This window comes from Homo sapiens, chromosome 8, assembly GCF_000001405.40.
Source record: "Homo sapiens chromosome 8, GRCh38.p14 Primary Assembly".
Taxonomy (NCBI): Eukaryota; Metazoa; Chordata; class Mammalia; order Primates; family Hominidae; genus Homo; species Homo sapiens.
In genome coordinates this window covers 78,892,863-78,914,782 of record NC_000008.11, presented here as the reverse complement: position 1 = coordinate 78,914,782, position 21,920 = coordinate 78,892,863, and the positions used below count along the sequence as shown (strand labels likewise).

Here is a 21,920-nt window from a genome sequence, read left to right as displayed (position 1 = left end):
AGTTACTTAATGACTCAAGACATTTTTCTTCACTCCATTCAGTGAGGATATATCATAAATGGGTAATACAGTTTTATTCTTTTGTCACATTTTTCATTCTACGTTGGAATACTCCAATATCCTAATGATGTTTTTTCATATGTTGAGGTTTACCTTTTGTGCTGTAATCTTCTATGTGCTTTGATAAATGTAGAGTTCCATGAATCCACCATTAAAGTATCAAAATAAAACACAAAATAGTTTCATAACTCTAAACAATGCTGTAAGTTCTTCTATTCAACACTTCCTCCACAAACTCCTAGGAAAAATTGCCCCTATAACTTTGCCTATTCTAGGATGTCATAAAAATGGAATGATATATTGTGTAGTCCTTTCAGAGTGGCCTTTTAATGTCTTATTTATTTAAGATTTGTCAAGGCTTTTACATGACTTGATAGTTAATTCCCCTTTTTCCCTGAATTGCATTCCATTATATGAATACATCCAGTCTATTTATCCACTTACCTATTAAAGGATTACTTCCAGTATTTGGTAACTATGAATAAAGCTGCTATAAACACTTATATTCAGTATTCTCTGTGGACATAAATCTTCAAATCAGTTGGGTAAATGCCTATGGAGTGTGATTTCAGAGTCATATAATAAGACCATTTTGCTTTGAAAAAAAAAACCTGCCTAACTGTCTTACAAAGTGACTGCAGAATGTTACTTTCCCATAAGCAATGACAGTCTTTTTCTTTTTTCTATATAATTGCCAGCGATTGTTATGTCCGTTATTTAGGATTTTAGCTATTCTAATAGATATACATTAATAGGATTTCAATTTGCAATTCTCTAATGGCATGATGTTGAGCATCTTTTTACATGCTTTTTTGATACCTGTATAAATTTTTTGATGAGATGCCTAATTCAAATTTTTTCACCATTTTTTAATCGGGTTATTTGTTTTCTAAGGGTTTTTTTCCCTCTATTTAGATACTCGTACTTTATAAAATATGTACTTTGCAAGTATTTTGAGTCCTCACTGTATTTTTTATTTTCTTTACAATGCCATTCCCAGTGCAAATACTTTTTAATTTAATGAAGTTCAACCTCCCAATTATTTTCATGGATTGTGATATGGGTGTTATAACTATAAACTCATCATCCAACCCAAGATTGTGTATTTTCTTCTGTGTTTTCTTCCAAAAGATGTATAGTTTTGCAATTTTCTTTGGGTTAATAATTCATTTCGAGTTAATTTTAATGTAATGTGTATTGTCTGCATTTAGGTCCTTTTTTCCCCTTTGGCATATGGATTTCCATTGCTGCAGCATCATTTATTGAAAATATTACCTATTCTCAGCTGAGTTGTCATTATCAAAATCCAGTTTACTGTATTTGGGTGGGTCTATCTCTAGGTTACCTATTCTCTTACACTGATGTGTAGAGAAATAAGTCTTGAAATCATTTAGTCTGAGTTTTCCTCTGGTTTTTTTTCTCCTTCTATATTGTATATGGCATTCTAGGTCTCTTGACTTTTCATATGCATTTTACAACAAGCTTGATAATATTTAAAAATTACTGTCCTGGAACTTTGGAATTCAATTGAGTATATATTTCAAGTTGGGAAAAAATGACATCTTAACAATATAGATCTTGCATAGAACATAGAAAATCTCTCCGTTTATTTAGATAGTCTACTTCTTTCATCAATGTCTTGTAGTTTTCTATATACCGGAACTATACATATATGTTTGATTTATATCTAAGTATTTCTTGGTACTATTGTAGATTTTTTAAAATTTCAAATTCCAATTGTTCATTGCTAGTATGTAAGAAAAAATTAACTTTTGCATATTGGTTTTGTATCCTCTAACCTTGTTATGCTTGACTATTAGCTCCAGGAGTGTGTGTGTGTGTGTGTGTGTGTGTGTGTGTGTGTGTGTGTGTGTGTAAATCCATCTGTGAATACAGTTTTATTACTTCCTTTCCAGTACACACACATCTTATTTACTGTTTATGTTTTATTGCATTAGCTAGAACCTGGCAGTACAATGTCAGATAGAACTGGTGAGAGTCTATGTCCTTGCCCTGTTCCTGATCTTGGGGAGAAAATGTATTGCCTCTCACCATTAAGAATGATATTAGCTGCAATTTTTTAATAAATGTAATTTATCAAGTTGAGGAAGTTCCCCTTCTATTCCGAGTTTGCTGACATATTTTATTATGAATGGGTGTTGGAGTTTGTTTTTTGTCAGTTGATATAATGTTGTAATTTAATTCCTTAAGGCTTCTGATTTGGTGGATGACATTGATTAGTTTTCAAATGTCTTTTTATACCTGGAATAAATGCCACTTTGGGATGGCATTTTTTAAATATATTAATATGTAGTTTTGATTTAAAATATTTTGTCACATATTTTTGCATTAATATTCATGAAAGATATAGTTTTCTTTTCTTGTAATTCTTTCTGTAGTTTTCTTTTCTTGTAATGTCTTTATCTGTTTGGGGTATCAGATAAACAAATTGAGCTAGAAAGTGTTCTTTCTTTACTTTGGGATTCTCTAAGTCCTCCTCAGAGAGCTCTTGCAGCTCTTTCATGTAGAATTATATGGAGTCTTACTGTAGCAGCAAAATGTGGAGGATGGAGAGAATTCTACAATCTTCCAATTAAGTCTGGTCATTTAGTGTTCTGTCTCTCAGGGCTGTGGTCTTCACATGTGTTTCCTAGCTTTACTCCTTCTTACTCATTTCACAGAAGAAAAAAAAACAGAAGCAAAGTAGTCGGAGTAAATGTGTCTAAAATCATGAAGAGCTAGGATTTGAACCCAATCAGTAATATGACAGAGCTTTTCTCATAACTTAAATCTTCTCCTGGTTTTCTGAAGCCCGAACTAGCAGAATATTCAAAAGCACACATTTTGGTCAAGGCCTATGTACAATGAAGGAACACCTGAAAAAAATGTTTGCATGCTTTTCCCTTTTCAGCCTATATCTGTCCCACTAATTTTTCGTGAACAAACTGCACTTTAAAGATCACCCTACAGGTCAAGACTCTGACATTCTGTAATCAGATATAAACACAGAACACTTAGCCAGCCAGCTCTGTGGATTTAAGCAATTTAATATCTCTAAACTTAGTTTTCCCAATTGTAAGATGAAGAAAATAATAGCATGAAATTCATAGTTTCCTGAGAAAAATAAATGAAATGATGTCGGTATAGGTCTTAGCATAGTGTTGACATAGAGTAAGTGCTCAATAAATATTAAATAGCATCACTTACAGACTCATAAATTTCATCTTAAAGTGGGCTGAGTATTCAGAATAAAGGAGAAATAAATGTTTATCCAAAGGAGTATTTGGGAATCTGTGAGGAAATAGTTTGATCATCATAATAACTAGGGTTTTATTTTGGTTTTTAGCATTCTGGGGCCAGAGATGCAAATTAACCTGCCACATACAGTCCTATGCGGTGAAGAATTGTCCAAGTCAAAATGTTAATAGTGAACATGGAGAAACACTTATGAAAAAACAGATCAAAAGGAATGACAGAAAGTAGGTACTGAGATAATCAATGCTCTTCTGCTTTGAGGCATATTTCAAATCCATTGATTGTAACACAAAAAGAAAGCAGTAGGATAATTTTAAATATTATTTTCCATTCACATTGGGTACCTAGCACAAAGTACCCTAATTCTAACATAACATGCTATTTTAGTGCCAAATTATTTATTCCATCCCCAACTTCCAACTCCAAAATTCTCCTTTGTGAAATGTTTGCTATTTCATTGGGTTGTTGATTCTCTAAAATGGCTGTGTTTTTCCATGTTTACAGACTTAGCTCTCAATATATCTGCTTTATATAAAATATCTCTATTATTCCAGATTTATTTTTCTTCATCTTATCAACAAAGTGGAAGCAAGAGGACAATCATATAACTTTGAAACTGCAGGTTTTCAAGACATACCAAAGCTATTTCAAAAATGTGAATTAAAAGCAATATAATATTTTATGTTCTAACTATAAGAAGGCAGCTAGCTCAGATTACAGGTAGTGTACACAGATTGCTCTTATTCCTAGTAGATTTAAAATGTATGAACATGGGCCTGGCACGGTGGCTCACGCCTGTAATCCCAGCACTTTGGGAGGCCAAGGTGGGTGGATCACGAGGTCAGAAGTTTGAGACCAGCCTGGCCAAGATGGTGAAACCCCATCTCTACTAACAATACAAAAATTAGCCAGGTGCACTGGCAGGCACCTGTCATCCCAGCTACTCGGGAGGCTGAGGCAGGAAAATCTCTTGAACTCAGGAGGCAGAGGTTTCAGTGAGCCGAGATCGTGCCACTGTATTCCAGCCTGGGCAACAGAGTGAGACTCTGTCTTAAAAAAAAAGTATGAATTTGATAATTTTAAGATATAAGAAATCAGAGACAGTATAGTCTAGTAGTATTGTTTTCACTGTAATGTCGTAAATAAGTAAATGGGCATGATCTTTTGAGCACACACCAAGGTTTCCTAGCACATCCCAGAGTCAGCTCTATATCATGTCCTTACTGGGAATTAATTGTTTCTTCTTCTCTCTGGTTCACAATTATCATTGTGCAAGGAGATATGATCCTATCACTGCCTGTATTCACAGAATCCCTCAAAAATAATAGCTTCTTTTTCATTTTGCTTCTCTCAACATACAGCTCAAGCAATAATAAAATGAATCAATATCTGAAAAGGCAACACTAGCCACTCCACTTCCTTTCCTCTCCACTATCTCTCTTCCAAGGCAACAGCAACAACAAAACATCTCATGAAAATTGCCTTCTGGAAACCATCACACTAGCTCATCAGGCATACCCAAACCTGTCTCACTCCTAGAGCAGATTTGGGGTGGTTCCATGATATCGCTTCCCTAGTATTTCTGCCCTGTACATGAAATGTTAACTATGTGTATCAGTTGGTTCCATGAAATTCAAAGGCTTCTTTTAAATCAAACCAATTATTCTTCTAATACAAGACTTTAAAAAGGAAACACAAGATGTGTTTTGGAAGCACTGAAACAGAAAACCGTGAGTTCTCCTCACTCCAATTATTTATCTTTGAAATCCTGATAGGTTGCTAAAATGGGTTTACAAGCAAGTCTTTTCAGCCCAAGAAGGTCTCAATTATCTTTTTCTTTTTTCTCTTCTACCTCTCAAACTCATTACCCTGGCTATTGTCCTATCCACTAAGACACTATTTCACAGGCATTCCCCAATCTTGGGCAGGAGCACCATTAATTCGAGCATTTTTCTCTCCTCTCTTGGACACTGCTAGACCCACAGGGTACTCTGCACTTAGTAGACATCTCTGCTTTGTACCAAAGACATCATGTTGCCAAAATTATGCAGCATTCTGTTGGCAAAGTTCGGGAGAATACTTTCCTTCTCATCTCTTAGAACGGGAACAAAACTCTGTAGTTTACATCCCAATATCTTGTGTTTTCTAGTAAAATAGAGCTTTTAAACTTTTATATACGGTTATCTTTCTTTGTAGGAACCAGACAATCATCTCGGCATAAGCAAGTGACAGCCAAAACTGTTCTCAGTTTCATTAGTTCTGCCCATCTGAAATTTGGTTACCTGCGCAGGCTTGGTTGGGATAGCTTCTCTCCCAAGGATCTTTTGCTCCTCATGTGAATATACTTCTGATGAAAATATCCCATCATTTCTGATTTTGACCATGAATACAAGGGAGGCACAAATTGGGGACTCCCAGAAATACTTGGGAGGAAATTTGGGGAGGCTAAGAAGTAGTTGTCTGAAATAAAGTCATACGCCAATTGTCAGTGAAACACAAAATACATTTTGGAACATCCAAGTAGGATTACAGTGGGAAGATGTAGGTACAACTTTGTAAATATAATTGCACAATCAAAATGAGTACTAATCCAGGCTCAAAAATCTCATTAGGGTACCAATAAACTCTTACGTCTAAGGTGCCTATGGCAATGTCTATTCTAGTTTTGATTCAAGTCTTCAACTTTCTATCTTCCTCTTTTTACCTTTTATCCTCCTCCCCCTCCCTTTTCCTCTCTCTCTCACATTTGTGTAATATTTAAAAGTATGATTCAGACAGAGTTAAATTTTGATTTCTTACCACATTACTAATCGAATTGTGGTCTGCCAGTGCATGAACTGCTTATTTCTGGCCAACAATAAGAAAAGCACAGAAATAGATATTAACCATTTAGAAACTTGTATTGCCATTGAAGATTACCACAACATTTAATTTTAAGCTTGATGAATCTAGTTATAAAAACTAGAGCTTATTTTTTCTCTTAACTCGGTTTTTCTAACATTTTTTATTAATGTAATGAAGGGATCCATCTGTGACAGATCAGAAATTAAAAAAAAAGAAAGAACCACCACAGGTGATTAGACCTGCCTGAACCTTTTGTAACATTCTTTTAGCAGAAAATGAATGTGTCATATGCATATTGGCTTTTCCGGAATCCATGAGGTGAATGAATTTTCAGGCTTGGATGAGTGTTAGAAACTAAAATAAACTAAATGACCAGAATCACCACCAAAATCAGCCCTCATAATAGTCTGGCACTAATGTTGTTGCTGCCACCGCTATCACAATATAACCAGACCTTGGACCTCAGGGGGTCTGTTGCTGTCACTCACTGTCCCTGAAATAGCATCTTCCCTCTCCCCAGTCCTTTGCATTGCTCACCCTACATTCAAACTACGGGGTTAGAATATCTCATTGGCCACACCAACATCCTTCCAAGTGCCTTCTGAAAATGGCTGTTGGGTCTATGAATACCGGCTGCCACTAACATCTATCCCATCTGTGGTAGTTCACTTTTTCCCAAGAGCCAGCCTCCGTTTACAGGCAATGGAGTAGAAGAAGCTGCTTAGGTAGTCACTGAAGATATTGAAGGAATTTAAATGAGAATTTGACATCCAACATCAAGGAAGCATTCCTAAAGTGTGAGCCACCTACTGTTTTGTGGTAAATGAAACCACTCATATATAATTGCCTGTAGCTCAGGAGTATCTGGGCCCCTGCTGACCATGTTTAATGAAGGACATAAAGCCTTACAATTCCCAGATGCATGAACTCGAATCAATATTGTTCCTTATTGAGTTCTCATTTCCTAAAAAAAAGAGGGGCCATCTTATCTTCAAGACAGTGTTTCCCAGAATCCATAAGAAAGAAATATCAAATCTTCACGGCAGTCGATGAAACACACATAAGATTCTTCAGATTACCCACATGAAATGCTAGCATAGCCTCTCCTTGATATCTTGTTTTCCTTTATAAAACATATATTAATACAGTAATTTCATGTTTTCTCAGAAGAGAGACACAAAATTATGTATCTAATAAGAAGCTGCTATTAAGGAATAAGGCAGAAGAAGCCTATAATAGTTGGAATAAAACACACACAGTAATGTTTCATAGGAGACCTAAAGTACTCATAACTTTTTTGTGTGATAGAAAAAACAATGTTTTGTTGGTGGGAGGTGGGAAGGAAAATAGAATAGGCTTGGGGAGAGCTTGTTGTTTTCTTTACTGCAGAACTGAGTAGGAAATAGTTCCAATGACTTAGCATGTGACAGGCTCTTAGTTATTATTCAAATTAAAGTGAGTTTCTGGAGCATGTCATGTCTGTAAGCCTGACATTTTTAGAAATGACAGTGTGTCTGAGAAAAAGCTTTTAGCATATTCTCAGCGGTAGCTAAATATGAAATGCCAGACTTCTCCCTGCTCTGCTGAATGAATTTTTATGGAGAACTGATGAATGATTACATTATCTTGAGGGTGAAGGAGAATTTAGGATGTCCTTAGTGTATTTTGCTTTAGTCTCCCCTTTGTCCCTATTCTGCAAAGAAGTCAAGTTTAAAACTCACAGAAATGCACAACAATTGTGGTATTATATAAAATTACAATGTCACAAAGTGCTAAAATAATAATAATTCCACTGATGTAGAGAGGGGGAAATAACATTTAGGCAAAAGTAGGTCTAATACATAATATCTTAAGTACAATGTGAAAAACATGGTATGATCTGTAAAAAAAAAATACGTCACTTACCAATATTACAGTTCCAAGTTTCACATTCATGCTCAAATGAAAACTTCTCAAGTGCTGTCCCGTTACAGAAGAACACAAAACATTATTAAAATTCTATGCCTTGGAGCCGGGCACAGTGACTCATGCCTATAATCTTAGCACTTTGGGAGGCCAAGGTGTGAGAATTGCTTGAGGCCAGGAGTTCGAGGCCAGCCTGGCCAACCTAGCATAACCCCATCTCTAAAAAATAAAAATAAATAATTTTTTAAAACCCTGTAACTAGGACTCAAAGCACCAAATTCTACCTGTGTGCTGTCAAGTAAGGGAAAGTCACTCCTTTGACAGACTCCAAGAGTCCTTACCAAAAAACCTAATCTGACTCAGCACTATTGAGATAATCATAGTGGTGTTTTCACCAGGTTGGGCTAGTCTTACAAGTGTAAAAAAGTAAATTATAGCATTCCCAAGTAGGAAGGCACCATACACATCAATCTTTCCAAGTTTAAATGGCCATATTGATGGCATTGGGTAGAAGAGATTATCTGCTTACCAACCTGCTTTCCTGGAAGTTTACAGAAACAACTACCTTTTGCTCTGAATTAACAGAAGTTTTTATTTTATTTTAGGACTATTTCATAAGTACTTTCAGAGTCATTATTCAGAGATCTGCCTAAAAGCCCCCTCTTTCTACAGATGTGAAATAAGGAAAAATGCAGATAGGAGGGATACGTGCATGTTCTCTCCATTGCAATGTCTGTTGTGAGGCGGGAAGGAAAGGGATATGAATTCTATCAAAATTAATGGAATGCTATTTTCATGTCAGCTGATAGAATTTCATGGGGGCTTTTACAAGCAATTTAAAATGCATCCACTTTGAGTGTGCATATTATTACAGGTTGTTGAGTCTGTATGGCTTGTCATTTGAGGCCAAAGCCCATTCCTTATTCATTCTTCCATGCCCACTGCCTTCCACAGTGCCTTGCTAATAGGCTCATACTTCACTTATTAACACTTAATCAAATCTGAATGAATGAAAGAAGACACTGAGATTTAGACTGTCATAAGAACTACATTTTTTTGGCTCAATTTTCCTTCTTCACAAATAATAACAACTATTGTATTAGCTGGTTTCACATGACAGGCAATATTCTAATTGCTTTGGATTCTAACTTATTGAATCCTTATAATGACATTAGGACATTCTACTATTACCTCCACACAAATGTGTAAACTGAGGCAGAAAGAGATTAAGTAACTTGCCCAAGATACTGTAGTTATTGTGTGTATGACCCATAACTTCAACTAAGGCAGCTTGGGTCTGGAGCTGGGTTCTTAAACATTTCTCTATGCCATTGAAGGCACAAGTGAGTTAAAAGGAGGATGGCAAAACTGGCGCCTCTCAAAAATTTTTGGAAGTTTCAGTATCTAAGCAGTTTATTATCTCTTATTACTTTAGCTTTTCACTGAGATCACTTTACCGATAATTCGCTAGACTTCTCATCTTTTAATAAATTTAAAACAAATCTCTTTCCCATAGCACACAACTTTGCAAACTTTAAATACTTCTAATAATGAGAGATAGGCTCTACTTTTTTAAGATAAAATTTTAAAGCAGTATTTCTACCAGTCCTCTTGGAAATCCTACTATATGAGGGATATAATAGAGTGAAATATTTGAAGACATAGTTAAATATGTCTTTTTATTTATTTATTTATTTATTTATTTATTTATTTATTTATTCTATGTGTCTAAAATACAACTTAATATTTTTCATTGCAATAGAAAGTACATCTGCTTCCATGATAAAGCCCAGCCTTTAACTGGCCCCAGACCCTGGTGAGCATGCTCTGGGTATTAAAGCACCGACGGTTGGTATATGTGTGGATTGAGGTGGAGGATGAGGTGTCGGGGGCTGGGTTCTGAAATCCTACTTACTCTTCCAATTTTCAATTTCTACTGGTAATAATTAAATTCACTTAAAAATCCTTGTAGCATTTAAATCTCATTTCAGATTAAACTTGTGGTCATGGTCGTTGTGGTAGTGTCTTTTATTGTTTGCTTTTTGTTTGGCTTTGTGTAGGGACTAATTTCTGTGCTGCCACCTTTCCAAAGTTTGCTTCTAAAAAAATTGCCATTTCCCAGTCCAACTGGATAGAGCAGTGTTGTATTAATGTTTTAAAAGCATTGAATATGGTGTTAGCACATATGCTTTCAACTACCACATATTTTAGGTGTAACAACCAAATCACTTGACTTCATTTGCTTTGTCTTCCTTATTTGTGCTATGGATATCATGCTAGTCCATTTCTTACAGAGTTGTTTCTTCATTCATTAATTTATTTTGCAGGTCAACAAAGAGTTCTTGAGCATCTGCCAGACCAAGTACAGTTCTAGACATCAAAGAACCTACAATGAATAAAGCAAGTCTCTTTCTTCAGGAAAATTACAGCATAATGTTGTTGCAATTAAGTTTTTTTCATGCATGTAAAACCCTCGTGCATACATTTGGCTGATACATACTGAACTCTAAAAACACATTACTACCCATTTTAGTAATTAACATTTGGCATTCGCCTTGCCTATGAGAGTTTAGAAGTAAAAGAACTTATTTTCAGCTCTTAGGCCCTGATTATCTCTGGGGGATCACAAGGACTACTAACTAAAAAAAATGAGGAGTGGGAGAGTGGAGGGAAGCACAGTATGGGTGATTAATAACAATTTTGCTAGAGCTCTGTGAAAAGCTGCATAGAAAGGGTATTTTATATTTGATGTTTGAGCAGAATGTGAGGAACAAGATTTGACAACTAGATAAGAATGGAAGGAGTAATCTGGGCAGAAGGAACAGTATGAGCACAAGCTGAGAGGTGTGAAGCTTCATGGCATGCATGGAAAACAGCAGCAAAACAGTCTGACAGGAGTAGAAAGCACCAGAGATGGCATAGGCAAGGCAAATTATGGCATATTATAAACAGCTTCAAGTGCGATGATAAGTCAGAAGCTGGAAATCATCCTAAATATAATGCAGAAAAATATGAAGGTTTTAAATCAGGAAATGAGAGAATCAGGTGTGCACTCTAGAAATTTAACAGTTAGAAGTACAGATTGGAGTGTGCAAGCCTGGAGATGAGCATGTACATTATGATTTTAGGTAATAGTTTAGGTAACATATAAAGAAGTAGCACAGTGAGGTGAAAGGGTAGATAGATTACAAAATCATTTCAAAGGAGGAGAAAAAAGAGATTTGGTGAAAAGAAGTAGATAAAGAAGAGACTGAGGAAAGCAAATCTTTCCAAATCACCTTTTAATTATCCTTTTGGAGGTGATATTAAATATTGAAGGGGTCAATAGTCCAGAAGGACAGAGAGAGAGAGAAAGGTAGGAAGAAAGAGAGAGAAAGAGCAGAGGTTGAGGGGAGGGAAAAGATGTTTGGAGATAGATGGATGTGATGCCAGTAATTTGGAAATTAATAAATAAATATATATATATATACACATATATATTACTATATATGCATAACATTTGTCATCATTTTGAGAATGTCTGTTGAATGGCTAAGTTGTTATAGTTTTTAAAACTTAGGAACTCAAATAAATCAAAGATGGCACATGCAGAAAGAGGGTACAATGAAGAAATACGGTCCAATTTCACTAAACACAAATAAAATAGATTCACAGATAAAGAGGGCACACAGAGGGACTACAAGTGAGATTAATGTATAAGACCTGAGAACTGAAGACTCACAATTGAAAATGGTATCACGGAGAGAAATACGTATTTTTCTCACACATTTTAGTACATTAAATAGAAAACATAATCTAAAAACTAGGAATTAAAGAAACTCAGTGAAACAGGCATTTATGATTCCACTTTGCATATGAGAAAATTAGGGCTTAGTAGAGGCATCATGGCCGATAAAGAGATCTGACACTCAAACTCCAATCTCTGTCCCTTTTTCTTTTAAATAATTTGAAAGATTTTTCCATTGTATCACTCCTTATCTTTTAGACATCAATAAGATAAGGTATTTAGTGATATCATAGAATACTGACTTACTGTCTTAAATAGAATGAAATGGACTTGGTAGGATACTAACGGAAAGCAATTGAGTTGTTACTTACCATTCCCATTAACACCAGCTACGGCATAATAAAGAATTATTAATATGACCAGCAAAGTCCAACATTAAAACTGAACTTTCTGCCAATTAAAAACATTTGCACTCCTTAGCTTGGGCCTGTCTAAGATGGAAGGTACTGGCTTGTTTTTTCTTTACCTGCTCTAGTTTCTGGCTCCTTCAGAATGAGTAAATTGGGGTGTCAGGGAGAGGGTAGGGGACAGCAAAGGTGCTAAGACACTGGCAGGATTTTAATTTGGTCTTCTGGCTCTTTCTCTCATAAGGTGCTTTTGTGGATTTCTCAGGAATGTCTGTCATCAATGGGGATCTCTCATTACAGTTTCCTGGAGGTGGAAATGCCTCCTTCAGGCTGGCTGACAGCTTACAACAGCCCATCACCTTTCTTATTTTTTATTTTTATTTTTTATTTATTTATTTTATTATTATTATACTTTAAGTTTTAGGGTACATGTGCACAATGTGCAGGTTAGTTACATATGTATACATGTGCCATGCTGGTGTGCTGCACCCATTAACTCGTCATTTAGTATTAGGTATATCTCCTAATGCTATCCCTCCCCCTCCCCCCACCCCACAACAGTCCCCAGAGTGTGATGTTCCCCTTCCTGTGTCCATGTGTTCTCATTGTTCAAAGCCCATCACCTTTCACTTCTGCATCTGGAAATCTGTTTCCAGGCTCCTTTTGAAGCATTCCCCTCACTCTGAGTGGGACCATCTCAAGACATCTCCCTCCATCATCCATCATTGGTGCTGTTGTGACTGGCTCCCAGTGTGGCCTCCTTACTCAGTTACCAACAAACCAACCTGTCTAGAAGTTACCATCTGTCATGTGCTCCCCAACTCACAGGGACATACGTCCCAAATTCTGTGATAACTTCTTGTGAAGCACGGGTGTACCTTGAAACACCTCCTTTCCCATATCCAAGTAAGAACAGAGGCTGTTGAAGTCAGCTTGTAAAATGATCTCCATTAAACAACAGGTCAGTTTCCCTTCCCCTCCATATTTCTCAGGGAAGCTTCTCATTTCTCAGCCACACACATACATAAACATTTTACATCAGAAGTAAAAACTCTGCATTAATTCTGTGTGTGTGTGTGTCTGTGTGTGTGTGTGTGTGTGTGTGTGTGTGTGCTGATTGTCCTACAGCAAATGATGAGCAGTTATGTTTTCTTTCTTTATGGGGCAAGGGGCATCACAGGAAAATAAAAGAATGATGTTCGGTATCTCAAGTTTTAATCTGCACCAAATCAACACTTTATATACCATCCGCCATAATAGGAAAACCAAAAACGAAATATGTAGTCTGTGTCTATTCAAACATGCACTCCTGAAGCCAGTTATAACAGAGGTTCTCATGCTGCAGCTCCTCTTGCCAATATGTTCTGTTCATCATTTCTCCTTTCTTCTTCTTGCCTAGCCTTTTCCTGACTCCCATTCATTCCACTTTTTCTAATGACATTAAAAATAACCTTTTCAACTGTCCTCCCTGAAAAATGATTATTATGGTGGGTTCATAGATCTATTTTTATTGTAATTTAGTCTGTTTCTCTGGCGCATGACAGTAAATTTGTTTTAGAAGTAATTATATCACATGAGCTGAGTCAAGATCCGAAGAGAAATCTGCTATTTCTTGAACCATCTCTATCAACAGCTTTGCATGGGAAACAATATTCAGTCAATGCCATCTTCATGCATGATGGACAGCTGTTATCAACGACAAAAAAATAAAAAATAAAAAATATTAAGATATTAGCTTGAGAAAAAGAAAATTTGCTAACAAAACAATCTCTGTATGGGATATGCATTCTGCATTCATCAATGTGATGATTAAGCATATTTTCAAAGAGAGAAACAGAATGTGATATTAGTATTGCTAGCTCTTATTTTTTACTTTTTAATGTAAATATACAGTTTTTAAATTTTAAGAAATAAAATCTAATACAAAACTACATTCTTATTTTCAGCTCTTGATTTTGGCTTTCTTGTCTTTTGTCAGTAATAACAATATGACCTACCAACCCCCAAATACTCTAGGTCCATTGCACTTCACACTGTTTAACAAACAGGACTGCTGGGCTCTCCCTGGCTTTATAGTGTTGATCATTATGCCAGGCAAGCTTTCAGGTCAGCTGTCTCTCCTACCACCCTTTTCCTCCTGCATTGCCCTGAACACATGCCAATACTTGCACATGCATACAGTCTACATGAATAGTGCTTCCCAAGTGCTTAATGTTTACTGAACAAACAAATGAATGAGTGACTGAATAAAGGTATATTATGGATGCACTCTTGATTTGCTACATAATGAAATTGAAGTCTATAATAAGCACTGTGATTAACCACCTTTTATTTGTGGGCTAACTCATTCCTTTAGCTGCTTTGTAAGAATAGTAGTTGCAAATGATCTCTCTGTTTCCTTCCTCCTCCATACTATTTCCAAATTCTGTTTGATAATCTGGCATTAACAGACTGTTACTTCCTTTGTTCTGGAAACTACTTTCTTCAAACAAAAAATATCAATCCCTCTTTGCATGACCTTTCATTCTCAGCCTCTCAAATGTGGCTACCTTTACTATCAGACAACAAAAATTATTCTCATTAAAACCAACAATAACCTTCCAATTGCTAAATTCAACCATCTGTATTCATCTATATTCAGTCCTACATAACTTTCCTGCAGCACTTGGCACTGTTCATCGTATCTCCCTCTTTCTAGAAACGCTAATTCTGATATCTATATATTCCACTCTCGACATCGTCTAGCAATCCTCTGGCCATTCCTGCTCTTTCATGTTCTTTGCACATCCCATATGTGTTGGGGATCCCAGAGCTATGACCTTCTAATTGTGGAAAAATTACTCTCCCTTGGAGATACACTCCCATAGCTTTAATTTTATGCAGATTTCAACTATGCCTTTAGCTTTCATCTATTTTCCAACCTGTAAGCCAAAATTTCTAATTGTTTACTGGAACAATAAACTTTGAGACTGCACAGCTCCAACTTAATATTGACAACAAAATTCATAACACACACACACACACACACACTATTCTACACATACTTCTATCACAGAGGAATTCTGTTTTGTGTTCACTGGCGTGGACTCTGGTGTCATACTGCTTGGGCTTAAATATTGGCTCTTGCATTGCCAGTTGTATGACTTTGGACAAATTACCTAACCTCCTTGTGCTTCAGTTTCTCACATGTATAGTGGGAATCATAACAGCTTCTCCTTTTTAAGAGTGTTTTCAAGATTAAAAGGGGTAGTTCATGTAAAATATTTAGAATAGTGTCAAGCACATAATAATCACTATAAAGGTGGCCATTTTTAGCCATCATTGTAGTTACCACAACATAATTAACTTTTAAATCTATATAGCCCCACCAAACAGTGTGTTCTATAATGGTAGGAAATATTTCTCTTTCGTAAGATTCCCAAGTAGGTCTTGATACATGAAGGATTTTTAATGAAACGTGTGTGGAATAAGTGAAAACCTTATCTGTATTTTATGTTCTCAAGTTAATGACTTCCCACTATAAGAACCTCAGTTCTACTGTCAACTACCCTCTCAGTCAGTCACTGAAATCTGTTGAGTCTGCATTAGGGACCTCTACTCCTTGTCTCCACTGTCACTGACAATCTTCATTTTACCTGCAATGAACTGAATGTTTGTGTGCCACCAGATTCATATCTCAAGCCCCTAATCCCACTGTGATAATATTTGGAGGTGATACATTTAGGAGGTAATTAGGTCACCAGGGAGGGTCCCTCACAAATGAGATTATTAGTGCCCTTACAGGAAGAGGCCAGAGAGCTCTCTTGTCCTCTTTCTGCCATGTGAGGACACAACAAAAGTCAGCAGTCTGTAACATGGATGACAGCCCTCAACAGAATATGTCCATGCTGATGCCCTGATGACACACTTCCAGCCTCAAGAACTATGAAAAATAAATCTCTGTTATTTATAAATGACCCAGTTTATGGTACATTGTGAGAGTAGGCTAAACCGAATAAGACATCTCACTTGAACTGTTAAAATTACTCCCTAACTGGTTTCTGTAACAAGACCCTTATAGATATCATCCCTAGATTTCTTTTTTAAACAGAAAAAAATCAAGCATGTAAATTCCCAGGTTTAAAGCCTCTCTTGGTTGCCTACTGCCCAGAAAATAAAATCCAACCTCCCCAGTTGACATTCAAGACTTTTCAGACTCTGGTTCCAGCGTACACCATCTCCTGCCACTTCCCTCAAGGCTTCTGCCACACCAAATTTCTAAAATTTCTAAGTGTTCATCAAACATGCCAGGTTTCTATAACCTCCAAGTCTTTGCATAAGCTTGAAAGCTTTCTTTTTCCACTTTTGTCCATTTTCATAATCCTAGGACAGTCTTAGTCATCCTTTAAGATCCAACTCAAATGCTAACATTGCTACAAGCCTTTCCTGACACCCCAAGAGAATTTCTCATTCTCTTCTCAAAGATTCCACAGTGCTTTGTTTCTATCTCTTAACGACATTTATCATGTTACACTGTTTTTATCGTTTACCTGTATGTCTCCTCCATTAAACTACAACAAACTCTTATCACAGTAACTATCTATCTGTCTCCCCCTCCTAAAAAGGCTGACCAGTCTAAGTACCAAAAAAATGATTACTAAACTCATCATCCAATCAATCCACTCGCTCATCAGATATTTTAGCACCTACTCTCTATTTGATATTGTATTATAGTTTTAGCTTAAAAAATAAAATGTTCCTCTATATAAACTAAATTATAAGCTGGCCAAATAAAAAGATTTCCTTCATTTTTTTTCAATTACAGGAAGTAGGTTAATTAAAGAGAACAAGATTACTGGGAGGTTGGTTAGGAGTGTGCAGAGGAGGTGATAATGAGAATTTTTTTTTCCATGGAAGAAGTGAGATTACCACCATTAGGGACATTTTTTATTTCACTGAAGAAGTGTGACTTCCAGAAAATAAAAGGCAAGTGCTGTGAACTCAAGACAATGAATTTATGTCTAGCCTGAGATGCCAACTATTTCCAGGCATGCTTCAAAATCATTTGCTGGGGTCAATCTTGCCTTTCTCCTAACCACTTCCTATATTTTCCCTCCTGTTTCCCCCAACTATCCATGCTGAACATTTTCTGTAGGAAAGCAAGATTAGGCAAGGAAAAGAGGAGATGTGAAGTTTGGTGGTAGGGAAATGCTTTATGAATGACAATGAAGGAATAATTTGTTCTTGCATGTTTTTCATCAATCAATGAATGAGATTTTTATCCCCAGTGTGCCTCAATGCAAGGCATTGGCTTAGTTTTGCTGTCAAACAGTGGTGCCACACACAAGGACACAGAGAAGAGCTGTAGAGGCAACCAGGTACTTTCCACCTTCCCTATACTTAGCAATAGATAGCAAAGGAGTCCTTGTGTTCATTCTGCATTGCCCTTTTAGGAAAAAGATGAGACAAATTCAAGGTAAAGTAATTTAACAGAAAGACTTGTCTACACAAATTCCTAATAAATGAAATGGACAAATGTAGTCGTGGAATGGGGCCTGGATTAAATGCCAAGCACTGCTAACCAACTGTGAGATCTCAGCTGAGGCACTTGTTTTCGCTAGGTCTCAGTTTTCTTCTCTGAAAACAAGGAAAGTGGATCACATGGACATCCCTTTCTGCTTTAATCAGAGGTAAGGTCTGAATAAAGTGCAGAATTCTACATTTCTTCAAACATAGCACGTCAGGAAAAAATGTGAACACAATGAAGTCCAAGCTTAGACAAATGATAATTAAACACATAATTGACAAATAAAAAGGCAGGTAGAATTCTCATTCTTCCATTCTAAATTACAGTTCAAGCTGGTGATTATTTAAGCAAAAATGTAACTTTTAGGAGGAAATTGAATTATTTCCCACTGTAAAGAATTTTTAAGATGGCAAACCTAAAATTAATCATGCCAAGGTTCCTGCTCGTGCTTAAATATATGCATGACTCCATGTCATTTTGTAGTGCCTTCCTGTCCTTGACATAATTTTGTTTTATATACTTAACACAATAAACTCTTTCATAGAAAGGAGAAAATGCCTGCCCTTCTGGAGAATCAAATTATCTAAACTGGGTCCATTGTTATTTCCACAAACAAGTGGAGGAATTATTGCTATATTCCTTAACGATTACAGACAGAGAATACAATGTTTCAGGCCCTTCACCTTTATTCCATCCCTTTCTCAGCAATTACAGACCGAGAATACAATGTTTCAAGCATTTCACCTTTAATCCATCCCTTTCTCACCCCTTGGGAAAGCCCAGCATTAGAAAGAGTCCCTAGTGGTTACACTTTTCACTTTTGCCCCCAAGACCATCTTCGACCTTGATTGTTGGGTTGTTGAGTTAGTCCTCAAGGTCTCTATCTGCAAAGTAGCACTTGATAACCAGCTGAATCTATAGCCCACTAAATTTGCTTGTTCTTATTTTTAGACATTAGTTCCCTAAATGAAATAAATGAGAGTAATATTAGTTACATCAATGACACCACTAAAGCATTCATTGAGCTTCAATAATAAGTGTAACAATAACAATAAAATTTTATGGCTCCTTTTCTCAGAGGAAATTAGAACACTTTACCAACATTATTGTCTCATTAAACCTCATGTCTTTGAAAAATGGTGTAGCATTGTGTGGATGGAAGGGTATAAGCCAGAGAGTGAGACAGAACTGTTTTCCATTTACCTACCTGGAAATCATTTAGGTAATGAGTAAATGAGATAATGTACATAAAGTACATGCCTGCAGGGTAAGTACTCAACACATAATTCTCTTTCCTTTTCTATCTCTCTGCCCACCAGCCATTCTCTCCCTCCCACTGCTCCTGCAACATCCTGTTCCCCATTTTTTTGTTATAGAGTAATGCATGTTGAGACAAGTTTGTCAGGTTTTGTGGGGAAGTTTTAGGTTGTTTTTTGGCCCAGTAATATTCTGATCCCCTCTGAGAAAAAAAAATGCACAAAAGCTTACTATCCTTGTCCATCTGGTATGCATGGGCATGTTCCAGCTCCTAGCTTCAGTAAAGTCTCTAGAGGGTAGGACAAGTAACTCCTCTCTCAGCATTACTCTTACTAGGCAGGTTCAGAAGAGTCTTAAATTTGAGGCATCATAATATCTATACTTTGGGCCCTGGGTGGAAGAAAAAAATCTCTAAGTAGAGTTTATTAGTCTGTTCTCAAGCTGCTGATAAAGACGTACCTGAGACTGGGTAATTTATTAAAAAAAAAAAAGAAGTTTAATGGACTCAGAGTTCCATGTGGCTGGGGAGACCTCACAATCACTGAAGAAGGCAAAAGTCATGTCTTACATGGCAGCAGGCAAGAGGGAATGAGAGTCAAGTGAAAGAGGAAACCCCTTATAAAACCACCAGATCTTGTGAGACTTATTCACCACCATGAGAATAGAAACTGCCCCCAGGATTCAATTATCTCCCACTGGGTCCCTGCCACAACATATGGGAGCTACAATTCAAGATGAGATTTGGGTGGGGACACATCCAAACCATATCATAGAGATAGGCCAAAAACTCATATGGAATGTGATCTACCATTCCAGTAATTCAAGTTGTAATCTGCATACCTGATTCTCTGTGTGTGTGTCCCTGTGGTTGTCCAAAAGCCTTTACTAAAGTCTTATCTAAATGTTGCAGCCCTGTCCTGGGGCATTGTGAGAAAGACTGCATGCCCATGCTACGGCAGGATGTTAAACAGTGAGCAGTGTACCCACTTGAGGCCAGTGTGATGGTGTTGGGGGTGCTGGTGGTGGGTGGAGAAGGAATAATTACAAGAGCGTCTCTACCTTCCAATGCACAGCATCTTGGAATCAAAATCAGATCTTTAAGTTCAATTGACTTTGGCTCACCCTAGAAACCTGAGTGGAGATTGTGTCTCCATTTCCTACCTAGGAGAAGTAAGGTTTTTGGATCTGCAAAATGTGAAGTTTTATCTTCCAGAAGGTAGTGTAATACATGGCATTTTGAAATACATGTAGACAAAATAACTTATCCAGAAAGAGTCAGTCATATAGCTGTGCTCATGCTTTGCCCAAGAGGTATTAAACAGTGTTTCTTCACACATACAATTGTGTAACCACCCAGTAAGTTATTCCTACCTACTGCAAAAACAAAATCAATTCACGGAGACCATAGCATTGCAGTAAAGAAAGAATTTAATTGACACAAGGCCAGCCACTCCACGCGGGAGATGGAGTTATTAATCAAATCAATCTCACCATAGGCACAGAGGTTAGGGGTTTTTCAAAGTTACTTTGGTAAGCAGAGGGCTAAGGCATGAGTGCTGCTGATTGATTGGGGAATGCAATAATAGGGATGTAGAATACAGTCTTCTTGAGCTGGGTCTGCTTCTGAGTTGGGGCCACAGGACTGGTTGAGTAACAGGTCTGGGTGGGGTCATTAGGTAGTCAGAAATGCAAAAGCCTGAAAAGACATCTCAAAAGCCCCGTCTTAGGTTTTACTTATTTATTTATTTATTTTGAGATAGTGTCTCACTATGTTGCCCAGGTTGGAGTGCAGTGGCACAATCATAGCTCACTGCAGCCTTGACCTCCCAGGCTCAAGCAATCCTCCCACCTCAGCTTCCTGAGTAGCTGTGACTACAGGTGCAGGCAACCATGCCTGGCTAGTTACTATACTACAATAGTGATGTTATTTACAAGAGTAATTGAGTAATTTGCAAATCTTGTGACCTCCTGAATAATGGCTGATAATTATTTAGCTAAACCTGCATCATAGTAGAATGCAGGCCCTTCTCATCCTCCTAACTTGGGGGTCTTTCATTAGTTTTACAAGGGCAGTTTAGTTTTGGGGAAGAGCTATTATCATTTAAACTATAAACTAAATTTCTCCCAAAGTTAGCTTGGCCCATCCCCAGGAATGAGTGAAGACAGCCAGCCTGTGAGCCTAGAAGCAAGATGAAGTCAGCCATGTCAGATTTCTCTTTCTGTCACAGTTTTGCAAAGGTGGTTTCACTTGGACAAGCTGACACACCAGGAAGTATTTAGATTTGTGAGATACTGGACTTGATGGTGTCCTAGAAACTTGTGTAGGAAAATAAGTAATGGCTGTAGGAGTTATCTGAATCTTAATGGAATTGTGATGTCCAGTCACTAGCTTGAGAACCACATTCCTTGTCGTAAGAATTGAGCGAACTCCTTGATTCTACAAACACACATGAAAAAAATGAAATTACATGAAACACAGCTTCTGATCAGGGTAAATGGGAGTGTAATGAATAAGCCTTTAGGAAGTCACTACATGGTGCATTGGTGACTGATTAAAGTAGTATTTTAAGATGCAAATTGTATAGCTTGGCTCAAATAATTACAAAGGAAGACAATAATAACGTAATATTACAAAGTTGTAGGTTTTAAAGATGGAGGAGCAAAAGAATGTGTGGCTGCATTTTTAAAAGAGATAGCAAAGCAGAACAATGTGAAATTAGGCAAAAGAAAAGCTGGACTGTTCTCTATGACATTTTCTCAACAGGGAGATGTATTACTGAGGACTAGAGTCTCCCCAGGGCTCCGGTAAATGCTTCACTGCATGTCATTTCACACAAAATACATAAAGCTGCTATAGGAGGTGGACAAGGTGACCTGACAGGTCTCCTGTCTCTAATTTCTGTGATTTAAAGGTTCTGTGCTATTACCCAGCAAGATGCATGGCTTTTTAGTGATTCCA

At 37.0% G+C, this 21,920-nt stretch overlaps 2 long non-coding RNA genes across 9 annotated transcripts in view, besides 1 other annotated feature; one reads left to right on the top strand and one right to left on the bottom strand.

The window, feature by feature from the left end:
• LOC105375912 (uncharacterized) overlaps window positions 1–10,606 on the top strand; it is a 42,502-nt gene extending 31,896 nt beyond the window's left edge. For both annotated transcript variants that reach the window (XR_929075.3, XR_007060973.1), the window contains exon 3: window positions 10,392–10,606. This is a non-coding gene — a long non-coding RNA (uncharacterized LOC105375912). The remainder of the gene's footprint in view (window positions 1–10,391) is intronic.
• The window catches only part of MITA1 (metabolism induced tumor activator 1), a 133,238-nt gene that overhangs the window by 22,927 nt on the left and 88,391 nt on the right, over window positions 1–21,920 (bottom strand). Inside the window, exon 2 of one of the 7 annotated variants that reach the window (XR_001745970.2) lies at window positions 5,598–5,775. The exons of 5 other annotated variants lie outside the window; for them this stretch is intronic. This is a non-coding gene — a long non-coding RNA (metabolism induced tumor activator 1). Of the gene's footprint in view, window positions 1–5,597; window positions 5,776–13,396; window positions 13,885–21,920 lie in introns of those variants that run through there. One more of the 7 variants, XR_007060971.1, reaches the window with a different exon arrangement.
• Window positions 6,736–7,237: an enhancer, noted in NCBI's record as "NANOG hESC enhancer chr8:79819781-79820282 (GRCh37/hg19 assembly coordinates)". NCBI's record gives its function as "activates a minimal SCP1, AML or CMV promoter by ChIP-STARR-seq in primed H9 embryonic stem cells {active_cell/tissue: H9 hESC(primed)}" and the evidence as "EXISTENCE:reporter gene assay evidence [ECO:0000049][PMID:30033119]".